Raw genomic sequence first — 17,776 nt, forward strand, 5'->3', positions numbered from 1 at the left:
TTTGTACCTTGATTCAAATGTTTCTCTTCATCCGCTTCTTGTTTGGCTTTACTGTATTTACTCCGTCTATTAAAATTTTTTTAAAAAAGAGAATTATTTTCCTCAAACACCTAAGCTTTAACACATGCCATAAGACAAATTCTTTGCTACTGTAAGTCAGGCAGGTATGCTATGTACATTTCAGAGATGAGAAAACTGAGACTTACAAGAGATGAAATACTTGTCACCTGGGTAGTGAGTCATGGTTTTAAGCTCAAGCAGTCACAGACACCTCTGAACCACAATTTTAAACTGAGGTGTCTTACAATAGGTTAAAGCAAATATTTTATAATATAATTATAATTTAAAATCTCTCAGAGAAAATTTATCTTATTGAAGATAAGTTTATTGGCTATTTTTCCATTTATATAAATATACATGTGTATATATATGTACATGTGTGTATATGTATATATACATTCTAAATTAAATTTCCATGAGTAATTCTGTGTAAATCAAATGGCAGTAATGTTCAGTATGTGATAGGTAATAGTAAATATTATTGCTATAACCAGATAACTACTACCACAAAACTTCATTATCATATTACATGATACTCTTGAAACAATACTTTTGCGGTCACTGGTTTCAGTTGCTGCATACAAATTCCCAACTTATTAACAAAATGTTTAAAAGTAAGTATTTGCTTTGTACTGAATTATGTTCCCTAATTTGTAAAAAAATGAGCAAGGGTAAAAATGAGCTTTGTTTTGCTTTGCCTAATTCACTTTCAGTAAAATGGTGCATTGTCTTAAACCTGGCATTCTGCTCCTACAACTTTTAATAGCCTAAATTTGGCTTTGTTATAAAGCTTTGTGGATTAGAAATCTTCAGTACACATAAATATTCAATCAGAAATGTATATATCTCTCTTATACAAACTGGAAAATCAACTCAAGCCTTGCAAATCAAAAATCTTGAATATATATACATAGTGAGTCAGGAGAATATATATCACTTAAAGGAATCAGAAAGTCAACTCCGTTGATATCACAGCTGTCTAAAGCTTGGGAAGTTGAGACCAAATTAGTAAATAAAATGTATACATTTATGTTTCTGTCAGAAAGGTACAATTTACACTGGAATTTACATTCTATGTTTTCTTAGAGCTTCAAAGACAAGGTAAGGCAAGACTCTTACAGAAAAAGAAACACGGTCTGAGATAAGTAAAAATTCCCGCAAAGCCAGGTGTCTTGGCAGTGTGGTCCTGTCAAAATCCTATACCCTGAACTCTTAAACTTTGAACAGGTAGAAAGGCAGATGATTACGAAAAAGAGAGAATAACAGAGAACCTAAAGGAGCCAGGCAGTGCAACCAGAGAGGCAGCGGATCCCGGTCACATGCTCCAACCTTCCCTCCCACATTCCTCTCCTAATTGTCAGCAGCGCAAGAACCAGCTCAGCAATCAGACCCTCAGAGCCTACAGATGTTTCTCCGTGGGGATAATTCCCTGGCAAATAATAAAACCTTGCACTTTTACACTGCATTTAACTTTTCAAAGTGCTCTCATCTCATATATTATCTCCTTCCCTAACTGTTTGCAAAGCAGGAACCAACTTAGCAAAACAGAGACCCCAATGACTACAGCTAACTGTGAAGTACAGTATTTCAGTCCCAAATCATAAGCTTGCATTTTCCTTTGCATTTAACTTTTCAAAGGGTCTATTTTTATTTATTTATTTATTTATTTAATTTATTATTTTTTGAGACAGAGTGTCACTCTGTTGCTCAGGCCGGAGTGCAGTGCTATGATCTCAGCTCACTGCAACCTCCACCTCTAGGGCTCAAGCGATCCTCCTGCCTCAGCCTCCTGAGTAGCTGGGATTATAGGCACCCGCCACCCATGCTCGGCTAATTTTGTATTTTTAGTAGAGCCAGGGTTTCACCATGTTGGCCAAGCTGGTCTCAAACTCTTGACCTCAAGTAATCCGCCCACATAGGCCTCCCAAAGTGCTGGGATTATAGGCATGAACCACCGCACCCAGCCAGAATCTATTATTTAATTGCATCTTCATGACAACCCTTTGAAAGCAACCAGGCAGACACACATGCTCAGATTCCCTGTAGATGAGGACATGGAGCTGGGGTGGGGTGGGGGGTGGGGAGCAAGAGGATCACCACGTGCTCTCCTAGCAAGTACAGGACTTTGTGAAAGCCCTGATCCAGCCCACGACTTCATAGAGCCTCTCTTACTGGAGATTAGTTACATAAGGATACCTGGTGAGAGTTAATTATAAGTAGTATTACGTTTTATATCAGTACATTCACTTAAAGTGAATTCAATTGCTCTTAAAATCCATTGCTTCATTGAAGTAACTAAACAGGTTTAAATACCCTGAAGCCAAACAACTTTCTATAAAAGATGAAGTCTCCTCCAATCTTCTTCCTCTCCCTCCACCCCCGTCCTTTCCCTTCTTTTAAAGGAATATAAGAGTGTTAGGTCAGGGACTACTAAAATAACATTTTATGTCAGGAAAATGCCATCGATTGGTCCCAAGGGAGTGATAGGGTCCTGCCAGCCTGAAACATTGTGTCTTATCAGAGCTCCTAAAAGCATTATCTAAAATTACAAGTATCTCTTTTAAACCACTTAAGATCTCGAACACTGATTTGAATTTCTTTCCTTTGAAGAAGGAAAAACAAATGCATAGAGTGAGAAAGCTTTGGTACCAACTTAAAATTGTCAATGAAACAAAAACCTGGAATATACCATAGAAACCCATGGCCTGAAGCTGCCCGGGAAAGCGTTTATCTGTTTTACATCAAGCACATTCATTAAATATGTGCAAAGCCAGAGGAAATACAAAATGACAGGGGTCATTAATTATAAGGTTGACACGCCCATCCCTTCCTCAGACTTCTAAACATAGAAGGAGGAATTAAATTAGTGGTGAAGGTGTGTTTTTAAATGAGATTTTTTTACGTGGAGTGTTATTTGGAGGAGAGGACCCTTAAGACTGCAGGAAATGGCTGAAAAAAAACCACAAGGATTACTGTTGAAAGGCTAATAGTAGTCTGTTTGCTTTTTAGAAATACCTGGAAAACAAAAATGCCTGTGTCCTGTTCTACCTTTAACACCTGATGGCCCTTTTGCCTTGGCTCAGTGTAGGACAGTGTGGCCCATTATCATCCCAGGAAAGAAAGCCCATTGAAGTTCACCACTGGGGCAGCCAGCCTGCAGGAAGCCACACTGCCTGAAGAAGTCCTAACTCAAAACTGACATCTCAGGCTGATCACTTGAATGACAGAAGGAAAACTTTGTTGAAGGTTTTCTAATTACAGAGATGTGGACAAGCTGATTAAAACTGGGAAGGAGTGGAGTGTTTTGTTAGTGAATGCTCCAGAAGGAAACATGGACCCTTTCAGCCGCAGGAGTTGGAGAAAAGAGCCCACATTGCAGGTGAAACTTTGAAAGAGTGTGAACTAAGCCCTCCTGCAGTCCAAGGGACATGGTAATAAGGGTATTAGCAGACATTGTTGCAGAACAGCGTGAGCCCTCTCAACCAACGTGCTGTTCCTGGCACCTTGACTATTCAATATAACAAACAAAATAGAGACGGGGAGCAAGGCAGGGGCCCAGCATAAACCATGCTTTTACTAAATTACTAACTTTTCTGGTCAAGTGGACAGATTTGATTGATGTGGTTCACTGTTCCAAAACTAATTAGTAAAAGGTAAGTAATTTATTCAGCTAAAGTGCATATTAAAAATAAAGCAACGTAACTAGCATGGCTCCAGGAGGTCCCTTTCCAGCACTGAACGGCATCACCCATGAAGATTCACAGCAGCCATTCTTTTTCTCCTTCTTTAAGCTGTCATTATTCTTGCACCGAATGATGTCTAAATGGTGTTCATGAGTAGCATGTTGAAATGGTTGCACGCAAGTTGTTTAGAAATGTTCCCGAGGTATCATCTGCCCCCACTTGTGTGAATTTACATGACTTCATCAGAGCTGAATTAGGCTAACATTTAAGTGTTTTCATTTTCACATGATTGTAATATTCCAGGGAAGGAAATTAGGGCCCAGGCGGACCACCTGAGGTCAGGGGTTCGCGACCAGCCTGGCCAACATGGTGAAACCCCATCTCTATTAAAAATACAAAAATTAACCAGGTGTGGTAGCACAGGCTGAACCATAACTGTTTCAGCATTGTGTGAACTCTTAGCTCCAAAGTGGAATATCTTAACCTTCAATAGGAGGAGAAAATTAACTTGCAAACTCTGACTTTATATTGTGCAACAGATTTGCATATTAATTCACAGATTACAAATCTTACCAACATCACTAGCAGAGTCTTGAAGCTTTGGTTCCATAGAACTGCCAATGTCAGCTTTTTTATGTAGGTCAACTTTGTCAGTTAAGAAGATATTAAAATAATATATCTATCCCAGTATTGGAAGTCAGGAGAGCTGAATTCCTGTCCTGATCAGCAACTAACTCACCATGTGACCTTCGTTTATTTGTTTAATCTCTTTAGGCCTCCAGTACCTAATATATATATATAAATTTTGCCATAACCACTTCATTTTTTTCTTAAAATCAATTCACTTCTTTTTCCTTATCCAGGTAAAAGGGGTACTTTATAACCCTAACATAAATGGAAACCCACTGTCACTAGCAATCATTAGAAGGTTCGTATAAAAACAGCATGTGCCTGGTTATCAGTAATACTTTCCCTCACTACCAAGTTATCCTTTAAGAAATAGGGGCTATTCTTGTATTCTAGACTTTTCTTAAAATTGTTTTTCACATTTGAATAATAAAATACTGTTTTGGGGCCGGGTGTGGTAGCTCACGCCTGTAATCCCAGCACTCTGGGAGGCCGAGGTGGGCAGTTCACTTGAGGTCAGGGGTTTGAGACCAGCCTGGCCAACATGGTGAAACCCTGTCTCTACTACACATACAAAAATTAGCTGGGTGTGGTAGTACATGCCTGTAATCCCAGCTACTTGTGAGGCTGAGGCATGAGAATCACTTGAACCCATGAGGCGGAGGTCTCAGTGAGCTGAGACTGAGTTATTGCATGCCAGCCTGGGCAACAGAGTGAGACTCTGTCTCAATCAATCAATCAATACGGTAATACTGTTTTGGAAAAAACACTGCCCTAAAATAATCTGAATTAATACTAGTTTGTGATGCTTTTGGAGATAACCTGATGAAATCATTACTATAAAAGGGAAGAGGGTGTCAGAGAAAATTAGCATAGATTCAGTCATTAGTCTTGGAGGTTATGACCTTATAATTGTATTTTAGGATGTCACTGTGAACAGTCCTTTTAAAGATCATTTTAAAAAAACAATATAGAAAAGTGGTTATGTTGTGGAGATCACAAATATATAAATATATACATGTGGAAATGTTGATTTGCTGGAGAGAATGTACAAATAGAGATTTGTTTGTGGTTTGAAATAAAATTTATAGGGACAGCATCATATAGGTACAAGAAGTGTTCTGCCTTAAACTAACCTAGATAACAAGTACAATTATGTGCTCTGGAAAGCTGAAAGAATTCTGAAATTATATCTTGAGTGATGAGAAAGACACAGATCAAAGATGCCTACAGAAAATATAAAATTAAGTTGCTTAACATAAATGTGGGTGGTAAAAATATACAATATAGCTAAATCAATGTGCCTAGTATAACATCTCATTTTAGGTATTTTATAAATTTAGTAGTTTGATTCTTTCACCGCGATCCCTAAATGCTTACATGTTCCATTTGGCCAAAAGAAAAAAGTAGATCTCGCTGAAAAAAGTGTAGATTATTCTGGCTTGCCTTAGGCTCAGGCTTCTCCCTATAAGCTGCATGTGTACAATGAAATAAATGAAACAATTGCTATAAAAAAAATCTAGCAAGATACCAACTGTGAGCCTGAGGCTGCTTCCTCTTTCTTAAATGACAAATTAGCACCAAGACAATTTTCTCTCTGAGGTCATCAGAAGGACTGAAACTTTCTCACTACGTGAGTTTCTGTCCATTGACTTCCTTAGGAATCTTGCATGCCATCAGCAGAGTGGGAGTCAGTTCAAGGGGACCCCCATAAGGGATCTATCTGTAGCATCCATTCCAGCATAAACATTTAGTGATTCTAAGAAGCACAAAGCAGCCCCATCGTCAAAGGACATGACTCAGATTTCATAGGCTAGGGTGTTTAATCTGTTGCTTTCTCATACTACTGGCTGAAGTCTGGCAAGATTATTTCGCCAGTACCATGTACCACCTTTCATTTGTCCTCTCACGAAAAGCCTGGGCCAGCCAGGCTTTCATCCCCACTACCTGTCTCCTCTCTGTTCACCTGTTCTTGTCCCATTTAAACATTTATAGTCCAAGATAACAGAGCAGACAACCTGCGTGAGGAGAAGAATTGGCTGAGTGTGCATGAGCCGCTGCAAGCCTGTCAGCTACCTGGCTCCGGGCGGCCTTTCCCATGACAGCTTTACGGCCGACACTAAAGAAGAATCAATATGAGGGCAAGGGGTTGACATTTCATTTTCTAAAAAGTGATCCATTGAGGACCAATCACCAAGCACTGTTTATCAGCCTTGGGAAGTGACATTTTTTTTTTAATGGGGGAGAAGGGACAGGAATCATCGCTAGGTAACTCGACAGGCTCAATTCTCTAAGGTGGGGACTCATAATTGGAAATCCGATGCATCCTGCTATCAATCCTGCCTTATATAATAAAGTGATCAATAAAAGCAGAGAGGAAATTAAGTCATCAAGCTTAAGGATGCTATTTTCCGTAGTCACGGCTTTTAATAAACTTGTCTCCCCGCATTACATTTTCATGTGTTTTTCCTTTCTTTTCATCAAAGCCAATGTTTTAAGCAGAACATCCAAAGGAAACTTACAATGAGGTAACTTATTTCTCATTACTCCAGTTTGACTGCTGTATTTAGGGCCACTTATACCAAAAAACAAAAAAGCAAAGTAAATCTAAAGCAAAGCTGGACTACAACTAGAGAATGTTTCCAGTCAAGTCAAAGAGATGGTCAAGACACAAGGCAAGGCCTACTTTCTGCAGAGAAGTGCTCTGAGCATCCTAGGGTGCTGAATTTTTATCAAATATTTTTAGAGGTGGAGGTATTTCATGAATTGTATCTGTTTTTAAACCTTTAAACATCTTTATTTTCTAACAACCAAGATTATTTCTGTATACTGTGAACATTTCAGACATAGAAATATGTAATTATAAAATCAAAAAAGCACATATAATTCCTATACACTCCCCCACATGCTCCTTGCTTCCCACCATCAGATGGATATTACAGTTCCCGGTGGTTATATGCACAGCATGCGTACATATACAAAACTAAATGGCAATGTACAAGAAAGAGGGCCATCTTGATTGGCTTTCAAAATCAAATACCAGGGAAGGAAAGAACAGTGGGAATTCAAAATCTATGCAGGTCAACCTTAAGTTTCCAAAGGTTGAGATATTCTGCTGTTTAGAATATAGAGGGCATGCCAATGTCTATATGTTTTTGTATGTGTGTGTATTAAAGAAACAGAAATGAGAATTTATTGTGGATTTAACATCTCAAGATTTGACTCATCACTCTAATCAAACATACCTATTCATAGATTGTGCATGAAAAGCAATGAACACGGTGTAAAACAGATGCCTGTACAGAACGTGTTTTTCTATACTGTGTTATGTTAGAGTGAACATAATTGGTCCCTGTATACCAGGACACTTTAGAGAGTGAGGATGGGAGCATGATATTAAGAAATACATGGCCGGACATGGTGGCTCATGCCTGTAATCCCAGCACTTTGGGAGGCCGAGGCAGGCGGATCACTTGAGGTCAGGAGTTTGAGACCAGCCTGGCCAACATGGTGAAACCGTGTCTCTACTAAAAATACAAAAATTAGCTGCCAGGTGTGGTGGCGTGTGCCTGTAATCCCAGCTACTCAGGAGGGTGAGACAGGAGAATTGCTTGAACCCAGGAGGCAGACGTTGTAGTGACCCGAGATCATGCCACTGTACTTCCAGCCTGGGCGACAGAGCAAGACTCCGTCTCAGAAAAAAATTAATAAATTAAATAAATACATGTACCAACTGGGACCATCCAGGCAAACTAGATTATATGGTCACCACTCTAATTATAATGTATATCAGAGGAAAGTAAAAGCATAGTGGCTTGCCCAGGCCAGTGGAAATAGCCAAAGGCATTGCTATGACATTGGTGAGATCATCAGTAGGCAGAGAGGGACAATGCAACAGACACTGGCCTGAGGGCCAAGCACAGCTACTGGTGGGGCCAGAAGCAGCTCAGCCTACCACTATGGCAATGCGACAAACTTGGGCAAGAATTACTTCTTTCCTAGGACTACTTCCCTCTTCTAGAGAATGAAAAGCTTTACATTTAAGAGGATCCTTTTGACATCCCCAGGCTTAGCCCTTTTTTTCACCAACAGCCCCATCTTGTGAAACAGTTGATGGTATATGGGGATGCCGATCAGGGAAGAGGCAGATTCTTACACATCAAAGACAAAGAAGGCCCAGATGTGGGGCACATATCAATGACTACTCCTCTGGAGCCTCTGGGCAGACGATGGGAGTGAGTAAATGGAGACAAAAACAGTAAGAAAAACTGGTTCAAAAGAAGATGCTGCCAATCTGTTGTTATTTCTCTCTCCTTTTTAGGTTATTTTTTAAGTATCAAGTCAGATTGTAAGTACTTAGAGGATAAGGGCTCAGATGTTTCAGGTTCATTTCCAAGACAATGCCATGCCCGAGATTTGCTCAAGGGATAATCTCTAGAAATCCCTTGATTGTCTGGAAATGCTGATGGCTTTTCCTGGGGGAAGACTGAGTGTGAAGTACCCATTTCTTTGCTTTAGTGACCATTACTGTTAACCAAAATCATGCTGAAGCACCTCCTGTGTGCTGTATTATCTATTTTGTGTATCAAAATTCTCCTGTCAATAACCCTTTGAGGCAGATAATAATTATCTCTATTTTACAGAATAGAAATAAAGACTCAAAAAGGTTTATGTAGTAGTAGCTGGCAAATGGCAGAGCTCAAAATTGGGGCCCAAGTTTTATAGGGCTTTTTCTTGCCTTTGGCAGTGAGTCCAGGCTTAAGAGAGGGATAAACGTAACACCTGGCAGCTTAAAGCATCTAGAAATCTCCCACTGGCTTGCTCTTCAGCTTTGTTTCCTACAATTAGCTGGGTCCTTCCGGACCTCTCAGCCTGCCACCAGGGTACAGCTAGCAGCTTTGGTAGGGGTGTGGGAAGATCAAAGCAACAAGGAGGAAACTTGGGATGCAGATGCCAAGTTTATGACGCAATCAAAAGCCTTAGCTTTGTGTGGAAGAGAAAAAAACCATCATAAACACTGGGAAGGTCGGGGGCTGCACAGTGAGTGGCTTCAGTGCTTACCTCCGGCTGATGACAAAAGCTGCAATGAGAATTACCACCAGCACCACACTGCCCGAGACAGAGACCAGAAGGACTGTGGAGTTAGCCCCATCTCCAATGATCCGGGAAGGCACTGGGAATGACAATTGCATAAGGGTCACCTTTGGGAAAGTCTTAGGAGGTAGAACTTCTGAATGGGTCACAGTTTTCAGTGTTCTGAAGCCACTTGGAGAGAGAAAGACACTTGAACATTTCAGAAAGGGCAGCAGTTTTGAATGTACCTCCTTCCCCGAGAGCTATCAAAAACCTGCCTATTTTTGCCTAGTTCAAAAGCCACTTCCTCCTTGTACCCTTGCTGGATAATTTCAAAGGATGTCAATCCCCTTCAGATTCAACTCTACTTTCTCTTCTGCTTTTCCTTTTATTCTTATTTAATAATTTGTGAACAAAATTTCTTTCTTGAAGTCAAAAATCTATCATCTTTTTATCAAACATGCCCAATTTGGGTTCATTGATTACCGGGATGGAGGTATCTGACACTAATGCTTGTTCATGGGTAGACCCCTCTTAAGCACTTTAAATTTAGTCAACCAGTCAATCCAACTCGCAATGCTTAAAGATTTGATATGTTTGTCCAAAGGGTCTTTAAAAAAAAAAAAAAGCTTATGTAACTTGATTTAAATGATTCTTAAAAATAAGTAGGTAAAAAATATTTTTGGCGCCTTCTTTAATCTTCTCAGGGAGAAAATTCCCTATATTAATGTAGGGTAGCTATGTAACCCTCAATTTGTCAGTTTAGTAATCCCATTTTTCATGCTTTCTAGAAGGCTCAAAACAAGAGAAAAATAGGCAACATTTTTCATTCATAGGAAAAGACAAATCAGTATTTCGAAAATGCTTTTCTCTAAATCACATGAAGTTTTCTAAGTTACAGACATTGGCTAACTTATTTCAAGACATATTCATTGCAGCAAAATGTCTGCTGAACCAAAAATTACAGACAACTCCTTAGATTTCACTGTAATGGGATTCAGCTGTATTATAAAAATAGCCTCAGAAGTGACTGAGTCTGGGTGGTCCTTGTTACCTGTGTTGGTTGTAACCTCCAAGGGCTCACTGAAGTCTCCATAGCCAGCTGCTGTCCTGGCTCGCACGTGGAAAACATAGGAAGTGAGAGGGTTCAGGCCTTTGATATCTGTGTTCCTGGCAGCTGTCCGAACTATACGATAGCTTCGCTCATTCTGATCCTACATCATGGCAAGATAAAATTGGGGAAGGTGGCAAAATAAATCTCCTGCTTACTTACTAGGTGCAATATTAAAGGAGTCAAGCCAGTCAACTCAGAAACTGAAAGTAAATGGAGATGAATAAACTCTCTGGAGCCTGTATTCTCTTGGATGTTATAAGTACTATTGTTACTTCTTACTTGTTGAAAGAAATGCAAATTCAGGTATGATTGTTATTGACGCTGACCATATCCAGATCTTTCCTCCTACTCTTTTTTTTTGAAAGGAACATTAAATGATGGTTGGTGGCTTTTCTAGTTCCACACCCAGCAATTTAAAAGAAATAACTGTGAGAAGGTCCCTTATCTTTTTCTATTTTCTGTCTAGAAAATGTAAAATGTGTTGTAACATGGTTTCAATGGGAAAATCCTGTCCCTTTTCTACTTTTAATAAGGAAGCCAATAAGTGATTATCTTTAAAAAGAAAAAGAAGACAACTGTTCATTTTCTAGACAACCTTGAATGCAAATAGCTCTCTTCAAAATTCTGTCCTGTAAGAGAGACAAGTTATTTGTAAAAATAATGCCTTTCTATAACTTTAAGAGGCTGAAGAATGTGATTTTCCTTCCCTGACTTTCTATTAAAAGTCATCAAAACCCACATCTTTATTCTGAATAGCAGTGATCTACTTAAACAGATCATTATTTCAACTGTTATGAGTCACTCTCCCTGATAGAAGGTTCATAGATTAGAACTTCTTAGCTATCTTGATTTCCATTACTAGAAAGTAAAGATATAGTTATATTACAATACAATGTATTATCATTATTGTTATTTTCTACTTTTCAGGATAACTAAGTAAATGATAAATTTCATAATCATACTTAATTGGGAAGCAAAATGCATTTGATTTGAGGATTCACTGGTATTCCATGACTTACAACTGGCTAACCCTTAAACAGAAGGGAGGGAGCAAAGGAGGATGGGAAGGAGTCGAGGAAAGAAGGAAGAAAAGAAGAGAGGGAGGGAGGGAGGGAAGGAGAAAGGAAAGAAGAAAACAAAGAAGGAAGGAAGGAAGGAAGAAAGGAAAGGAGTGTTGTTCACTCAAGTAATACCTTCTCATAATACTTGACTTCATATTCCAGGATTACCCCATTGGGCCGATCTGGTTCCAGCCAAGCCAGTGCCACACTGTATCTTGTGACTTCTTTAGCCTGGACCAAAGCAATGGATGATGGTGCTGTTAGAAAAAAACAAAAGACAAAAGATATTTTCTTTAGGAAAATAAATGGTTTTGGTGGTAGCCAGAAATAATTTCATCTTATTTAAGAAAAGTGTGAAAGATTGTCTTGTCTCCCCCTTGACCATTTTACTCTTCAGTATAGAAGCATATCATTTTCATCCTTCTCTCCAGTATATTTTTGCATGTGTTTGTCTTAAAAAGAGAATCTCTGAAGTAAAAGCCTAGTGGGCTCACAGGCCTGTAGTACCATTTCCACAGCACGTAGAGACATTTCTCATAAAAGGCTGTAGGTACAGAGAAGGCTGTCTGGTTTTTAACCTTTTGTAAGCCATAACAGCCTTTGGAAGACCTCATTTTAAGCTCAGTAAAGCTACATCTAATCCTACCTCCCAGTATTATGAGTGCCATCTTACTGGACTTTAATTTCATGCAAGCAAGAGAATGTACAAGTCTTCAATAAGTACTGTAGGGAATGCCAAAAGGGAAACAATTTACATACTTTCCAATATAAATAAAAGTACTGCTTAATCACAGTAAGAGTTCAGTCTGAACACAACCATGTAAATAGTGAATACAAATCAAGCAGTGCTGGTCTCTCTGAACATGCGTGGCATTTTGCAGCTATTTTACAAGAGCTGACATGTTGCCTTTGCCTGCTCTTTCCACTGCGAAGGACACAAAGGCAGCCCTCTAGTGGGTGTGTTATGGGGGTGGAAGGAGGGCACACTTTAGATTTATACACCCAGGCTGCCCGATGCTCACTTCTCCGCTGCAGTGGTCGCATCTCCAGCCAGCTGTTATCAGGCTCTGCTGACACTGACAATGGCTGGTACCCATGCACAATCTCCAGGGAGAAGAGAAAGCATTCATGAAATCCTTAATCTTATCTAACAAAGCTGCCCTGGAGAACCAGAGATTAGGGAGCTTCCTAACTCCAATGTATATATTCTTTTATTCCCAAACTGGGGAAACAAATGTCAAAAACTGGCCACTGAGGAAGGATAAATTAGTGCTGGGTCATCCTCCTGCCCTTTTGCAATACATGCGTATGAATGCCAACCCCTAACTCCAAGGAACAAAGATAAAAAGTGAAATACATTGTCACTGAAAATGGTATGGGAAAAGCTTCAAACCTGCTTGACCATGTCTGACGAGTATACTGATGGCAGGGAAGCCAAGCAGACACACCATAGTCACACAAGGGAGTCTTCCAGCTAAATCCAGTACGGTAGAGACTGTCTCCTGGAGGGGGTTATTTGACAGCCCAGCATCTCTGTTAGGGATGGTAACAGGCGCACACACACACACACACACACCCCTCTATTTTTTTTTCCTCTCTCTCAGTCCCAAAGCTATTCCAGATTGGATCTCAGGCAAAAACACAAGGGAAAGATACAGTAGATACACATGTCCTCCATCAAAGGCAATCCCAAGGTTAGTAATACCAACCCCAGTGAACAAAGCTGCATGCGGCAGACATATGGAAGCCACTGAACATCTGAGGAAAATGAAAAACGGAAATGTGCTCATTACATTCATTAAGGCCCCCTTCTCCCAACACACACACAGGCACACACACACATACACACACACTCACATTTACTCTTTCTTTCCTGGTTGACACAAAGCCATTGTCCAACAAAATGCAAAAAGTGACTTTGTAAAATATAGAGGTAGCAAGGAGGCTAAGAAAACTGCCTGGCTGTGGAAAGTCATTTCACTCCAGGTAATAAATATATTGCCTAACAGACCACTTAGCATACACTCCATAAAAAGGAGCTCTTTAAATTCTGATGTTCAGGATTGAGAAATGAAACAGAAAAGTGAGGTCATTAGAAAGAAAGCAGGAGGGAGAAAAATCATAAAATTATAAAATGAACTTTCTCTCGGAAATGGTCTTGGTCAGATCCTGATAATCGACAGATTCCTTGAGAAAGAATTGCCTGCCTGCCCTTGGAGTGCACTGATGAACTAAGACAGCTTCTCTCTGGTTGGGTTATCATTAAACTGCTGCATATGGGAAATGAGCTTGATTTCTATTTTAGAAGTTTGAGTAGCTGTGTTCCTGTGACCATTTAAAGGGAATATGAACTCAACTAAGGTGCTCAAAAAATCTCAAGCAGGGAGTTAGCAATATAATCACGTTAACTCATAGAGTATTTCTAATGCAGCCCTACTTGGGAAGCTGATATGCATAAATGTGAAAATAAACCAACAGAGTGTACCTTGACACAGCTGTCATAAAAATGGAGAATAAGGAGAGACTGAAAGAGAAATGCAAGCAAGAACGAAGGATTAAATGAAAATAGAATGCTAGGCTGAGGACAGTCAGAAAACTGCTGAGTTGACATTTGTCTTTCATACCTACTGGAGAGATCAATTCAACCAAGGAAAAGTAGAATACATAGATCTAATTCACAAAAAGTATTGTGTTGTATGGCTGCAAAGTCTAAATTCTTTATTGATCAGATGTTCTTCAGAAGAGCATGTTATCAGGGCACAATGACACAAGCAATCCATGACCAAGTGAGGTTGGGAAATGTACCTAAAACATACAACTGCATTGTATGTGGAGAGCTTACCTTCTCTAGTAAGAAGGAGTTTGAGAAAATCTGGGCTTTGCCATACTGCCACTTTGGAAAGGAGGCAACCTGGATGTTCTCCACATCATAAGCCACATATGGGCTTTTCCCTCACCCTTTCTACCCCATTTCCAAAACAGCCTTCAACTTTACATCTAGAAGGCATCACCCTACTGTGTGTGCCTGCCTATGGGTCATTTCCCTAGATGAGGCATTTGCCAATGACATTTTGCAATTTTCCCCCTACCGCAGTGTTTCCCAAGCATCAGACTTCCATGCCACACATTTGCTGCCACATCCCTCTGCAGCTTGTAAGATGATTTAAGTAATATTTTCTTTAATAAATGCAGTATCTTTAACTTCAACAGTTGTATTTGAAAGAAATTTCCCATTTACTGGTATCAATGAAACCCTATAATTACTTGAAATTAAATGAACATTGCATGTAAATAAAACAATGTTATCAATGTTTGCTGGACACTCTTACTTCTCCAAGGATTGTTAAAAATGGAGATTAGCCAGTGCTAGAGAAACAAAGGATATATGGGCACCCGCTTGAGATTCTGACCTTGGAGTACTCAGAATTACTGAGAAAGAATTGAAAATGAACTATACTGTACACAGGGCAATTCAATATTACATAATATCTCATCGGTGTGTTCCCTAAAATCATCTCTGATGCCACCATTGGTATGTTTCCACACTTTGGTAAACAATGCCTAACCCAAATGTCTTGAATCCTGATTTGCAATATTCCAGGGCTCTGCCTTTTGCTTACAGAATTAGAAGAGGAGATAATAGAATTTTTTTAAAAAGATTGTACATCCCACCCTTAAATATATGGTTCAATAAGAGCTCTGACCAATCAATGCCTAAGTTCAAAAGAGAGTTTCTAATCATAGTAGAAAATTTGGTCAGCATAAAAAGACCAAGTGGAAAAAAAGATTCTCAGTGGCTGCTCAGTTCTTTGATTTACATTCTGAAATCTCATAGAGACAAGGTTCTTCCTCAACATCAACTCGGCCACTAGACACATACTTAATGAGCACCTATGGAACAAGGCCGAGAGGGGGAATGGGTAAGCATGGCCAGATAGAAAATAATTGTTGGTATCAGACTAAGTACCACCAAATACTTTAGCCTCTTCTTAACTAAAAGAACTATTGGGAAATTTTTATAGTAGTCTTAAAGAAAAAACACTTTCTAATGTCAAGTCAGAGGGCCCATTTTTCTAGAATTTAAGAGGAGACGATTCCTACTGCCCCTCTTCTAATTCAAGTTCTCTCATGGGTGATGGGGAGGAGTAAGTAGAGGGCACTTTCTCACACATTCTATCTGTAGACACTCAATACACCTGCTGAGTGTCAGAAGCAAAGCCAGGAAGAAGCTGGGGGGCTGATGAACACATTCTTTTTTTTTTTTTTTTACATTCTTACTACAAGAAAGAGATGCATCATAGATTGAAAAGCATTCCTATCTACCCACGGACTTCTTTCATAGAGGAGATACTTGTTTTAAGGACAGTTTTGTGCCTCCAGACAAATGCAGGCATTCTTTAATGGCTAGAATTCAGACATGACACATAGCAATGAGAGCTGGTCATGCTAGTTGACAGTAGCATGGTTAAAGAAAGATGACTATGTAAAAATCATAAGGCAAGCACTCCTAAAGGGTAGCTCTTTAAAAAAGATGTGTGATTTAATTCAATGGAGTCCTTAATTTTCAAACCTTTACAGCAAAATCTCCAATGACTCATAGATGTCAATTTTCCTGGTCTAAGGTGCCTATCCCCGAGACCATCATTTTTTATTACCCCTAAGGAGATTTCAGCAGTTTTTAACCCAAAACTTGTCTCTCATTTCTTCTTCTTTTTAACCTACAAATCATGGTGACACATGCATTCAGTGGTGCTCAATAATTATGTCAAATGAATAAAAGTTTTTACATATTAAAATTTATCTAAAAAATCTTTACTGTAGATATCAAACATTTTCTAAACATAAAGTACCAGAAGTAAGCCATCCTTAAAACAACTTTCCATCTGCACCTGTTTCAAAGGACCTTTTGTGGGGTTGGTTTTACTATTTAGGTTAACTGAGATATTGACAATTGGGGTGAAGCAAATGACAACTCTAATTATAAATGGAGTCTCTGTTTCTAAGGTCTGTGTGATGCTTCTGAACATTTTTCAAACACAGGCTGTAAAATGTCATTCAAATGTAAGTTAACATTAAAACTAGGCATCACTGCACCTGTTACAGACAGCATTTTGAGCTTCTGCTCTTTAGGCTGATGAAGGTGTTGACAATTTGCTCTGCATTTCTCCTCTGTATCTGTAGGGCATATGCAAATAGTTCTCCTGACTTCTTAACTGCCAAGGTGGAGTGATGGTGAGACTCCCAAGTCATAATGATAAATCCAGAAAGGATCCTAAGCCTCCAAAGATGGACTAGGGCAAAGCCAGTCACTGCCAGCAGAAGCCATTAGTTACTACATATGCAACAGCCACCAATGGACATAAACTTGAAACATGGGGGTAATAGGGTGGAGAGCCCTTTGCAGTCATAGTGTGGGCGAGCAGCATTATTAGGAACAGACTCTGTTTTTCCACATACCAAATGGACACAAGTGAAATTGTAGCAAAATACCATTTTTAAAAAACGATGAAGCAAAAACCAAAAGAGGAGGAAAGGAAAAAATTCACCAAAGCTTTCCAGTTGAATGATCTGAGCTTTCCAATAGAGGTCCAAGATAAATTTCACTCCCAAAGAATGTTGTATTCCCAGTTCTACAAATCCCTGAGAAACTGAGAATGCTTTCGAAATAGAATCCCCATTTGCTATGTACCTGTGGTTACATTTGGTTTGAGAGCAGACCACAATGCACTGAGAAGGTACATGTGGGTTTTCTCTCTGTGTGTGTTTTTGATAAACAGAAACAGCACAGATTAGGGGGCTCTATCATGACTCTCTAACAGTGGTGCATTTCACAAGGAGAAATTACAGGAGATGCTTTGATGTCAAACAGAGGTGGCTCCCTTTAAGAAAATGGTAAATTTAACTTTCTTTGGTTCAAAGCTCAGCAGTTCTCCTTGCTCCCCACTGACGTGAATGCTGCAATTTTCTTTTATTCACTTCCTCAATGACTTGCCATTAAACACCTACAAGTCATTTTACTGCAGCAGTTTGGTCCTTGTGACACCCAAATGGGATGGAGAAGAGAAGAGGAGATACGGAGAAAAGAAAGAGAGGAAAGCTTCACATGGTTCCTGAGCTAGAAAATTGTTTTCTTGAGTCCAGTATCACAAGCAGTGAAT

General features: G+C 39.4%; 1 protein-coding gene across 4 annotated transcripts in view; it reads right to left on the reverse strand.

Moving 5' to 3' along the window:
* EPHA4 (EPH receptor A4) overlaps window positions 1-17,776 on the reverse strand; it is a 156,176-nt gene that overhangs the window by 28,089 nt on the left and 110,311 nt on the right. For all 4 annotated transcript variants that reach the window (NM_001304536.2, NM_001304537.2, NM_004438.5 and 1 more), the window contains 4 exons: window positions 11,751-11,875; window positions 10,498-10,657; window positions 9,432-9,543; window positions 8-66 (listed from right to left, as the gene is read on the reverse strand). In NM_001304536.2, the coding sequence (NP_001291465.1) occupies window positions 8-66; window positions 9,432-9,543; window positions 10,498-10,657; window positions 11,751-11,875 (456 nt within the window). The remainder of the gene's footprint in view (window positions 1-7; window positions 67-9,431; window positions 9,544-10,497; window positions 10,658-11,750; window positions 11,876-17,776) is intronic.

This window comes from Homo sapiens, chromosome 2 (assembly GCF_000001405.40).
Source record: "Homo sapiens chromosome 2, GRCh38.p14 Primary Assembly".
NCBI lineage: Eukaryota > Metazoa > Chordata > Mammalia > Primates > Hominidae > Homo > Homo sapiens.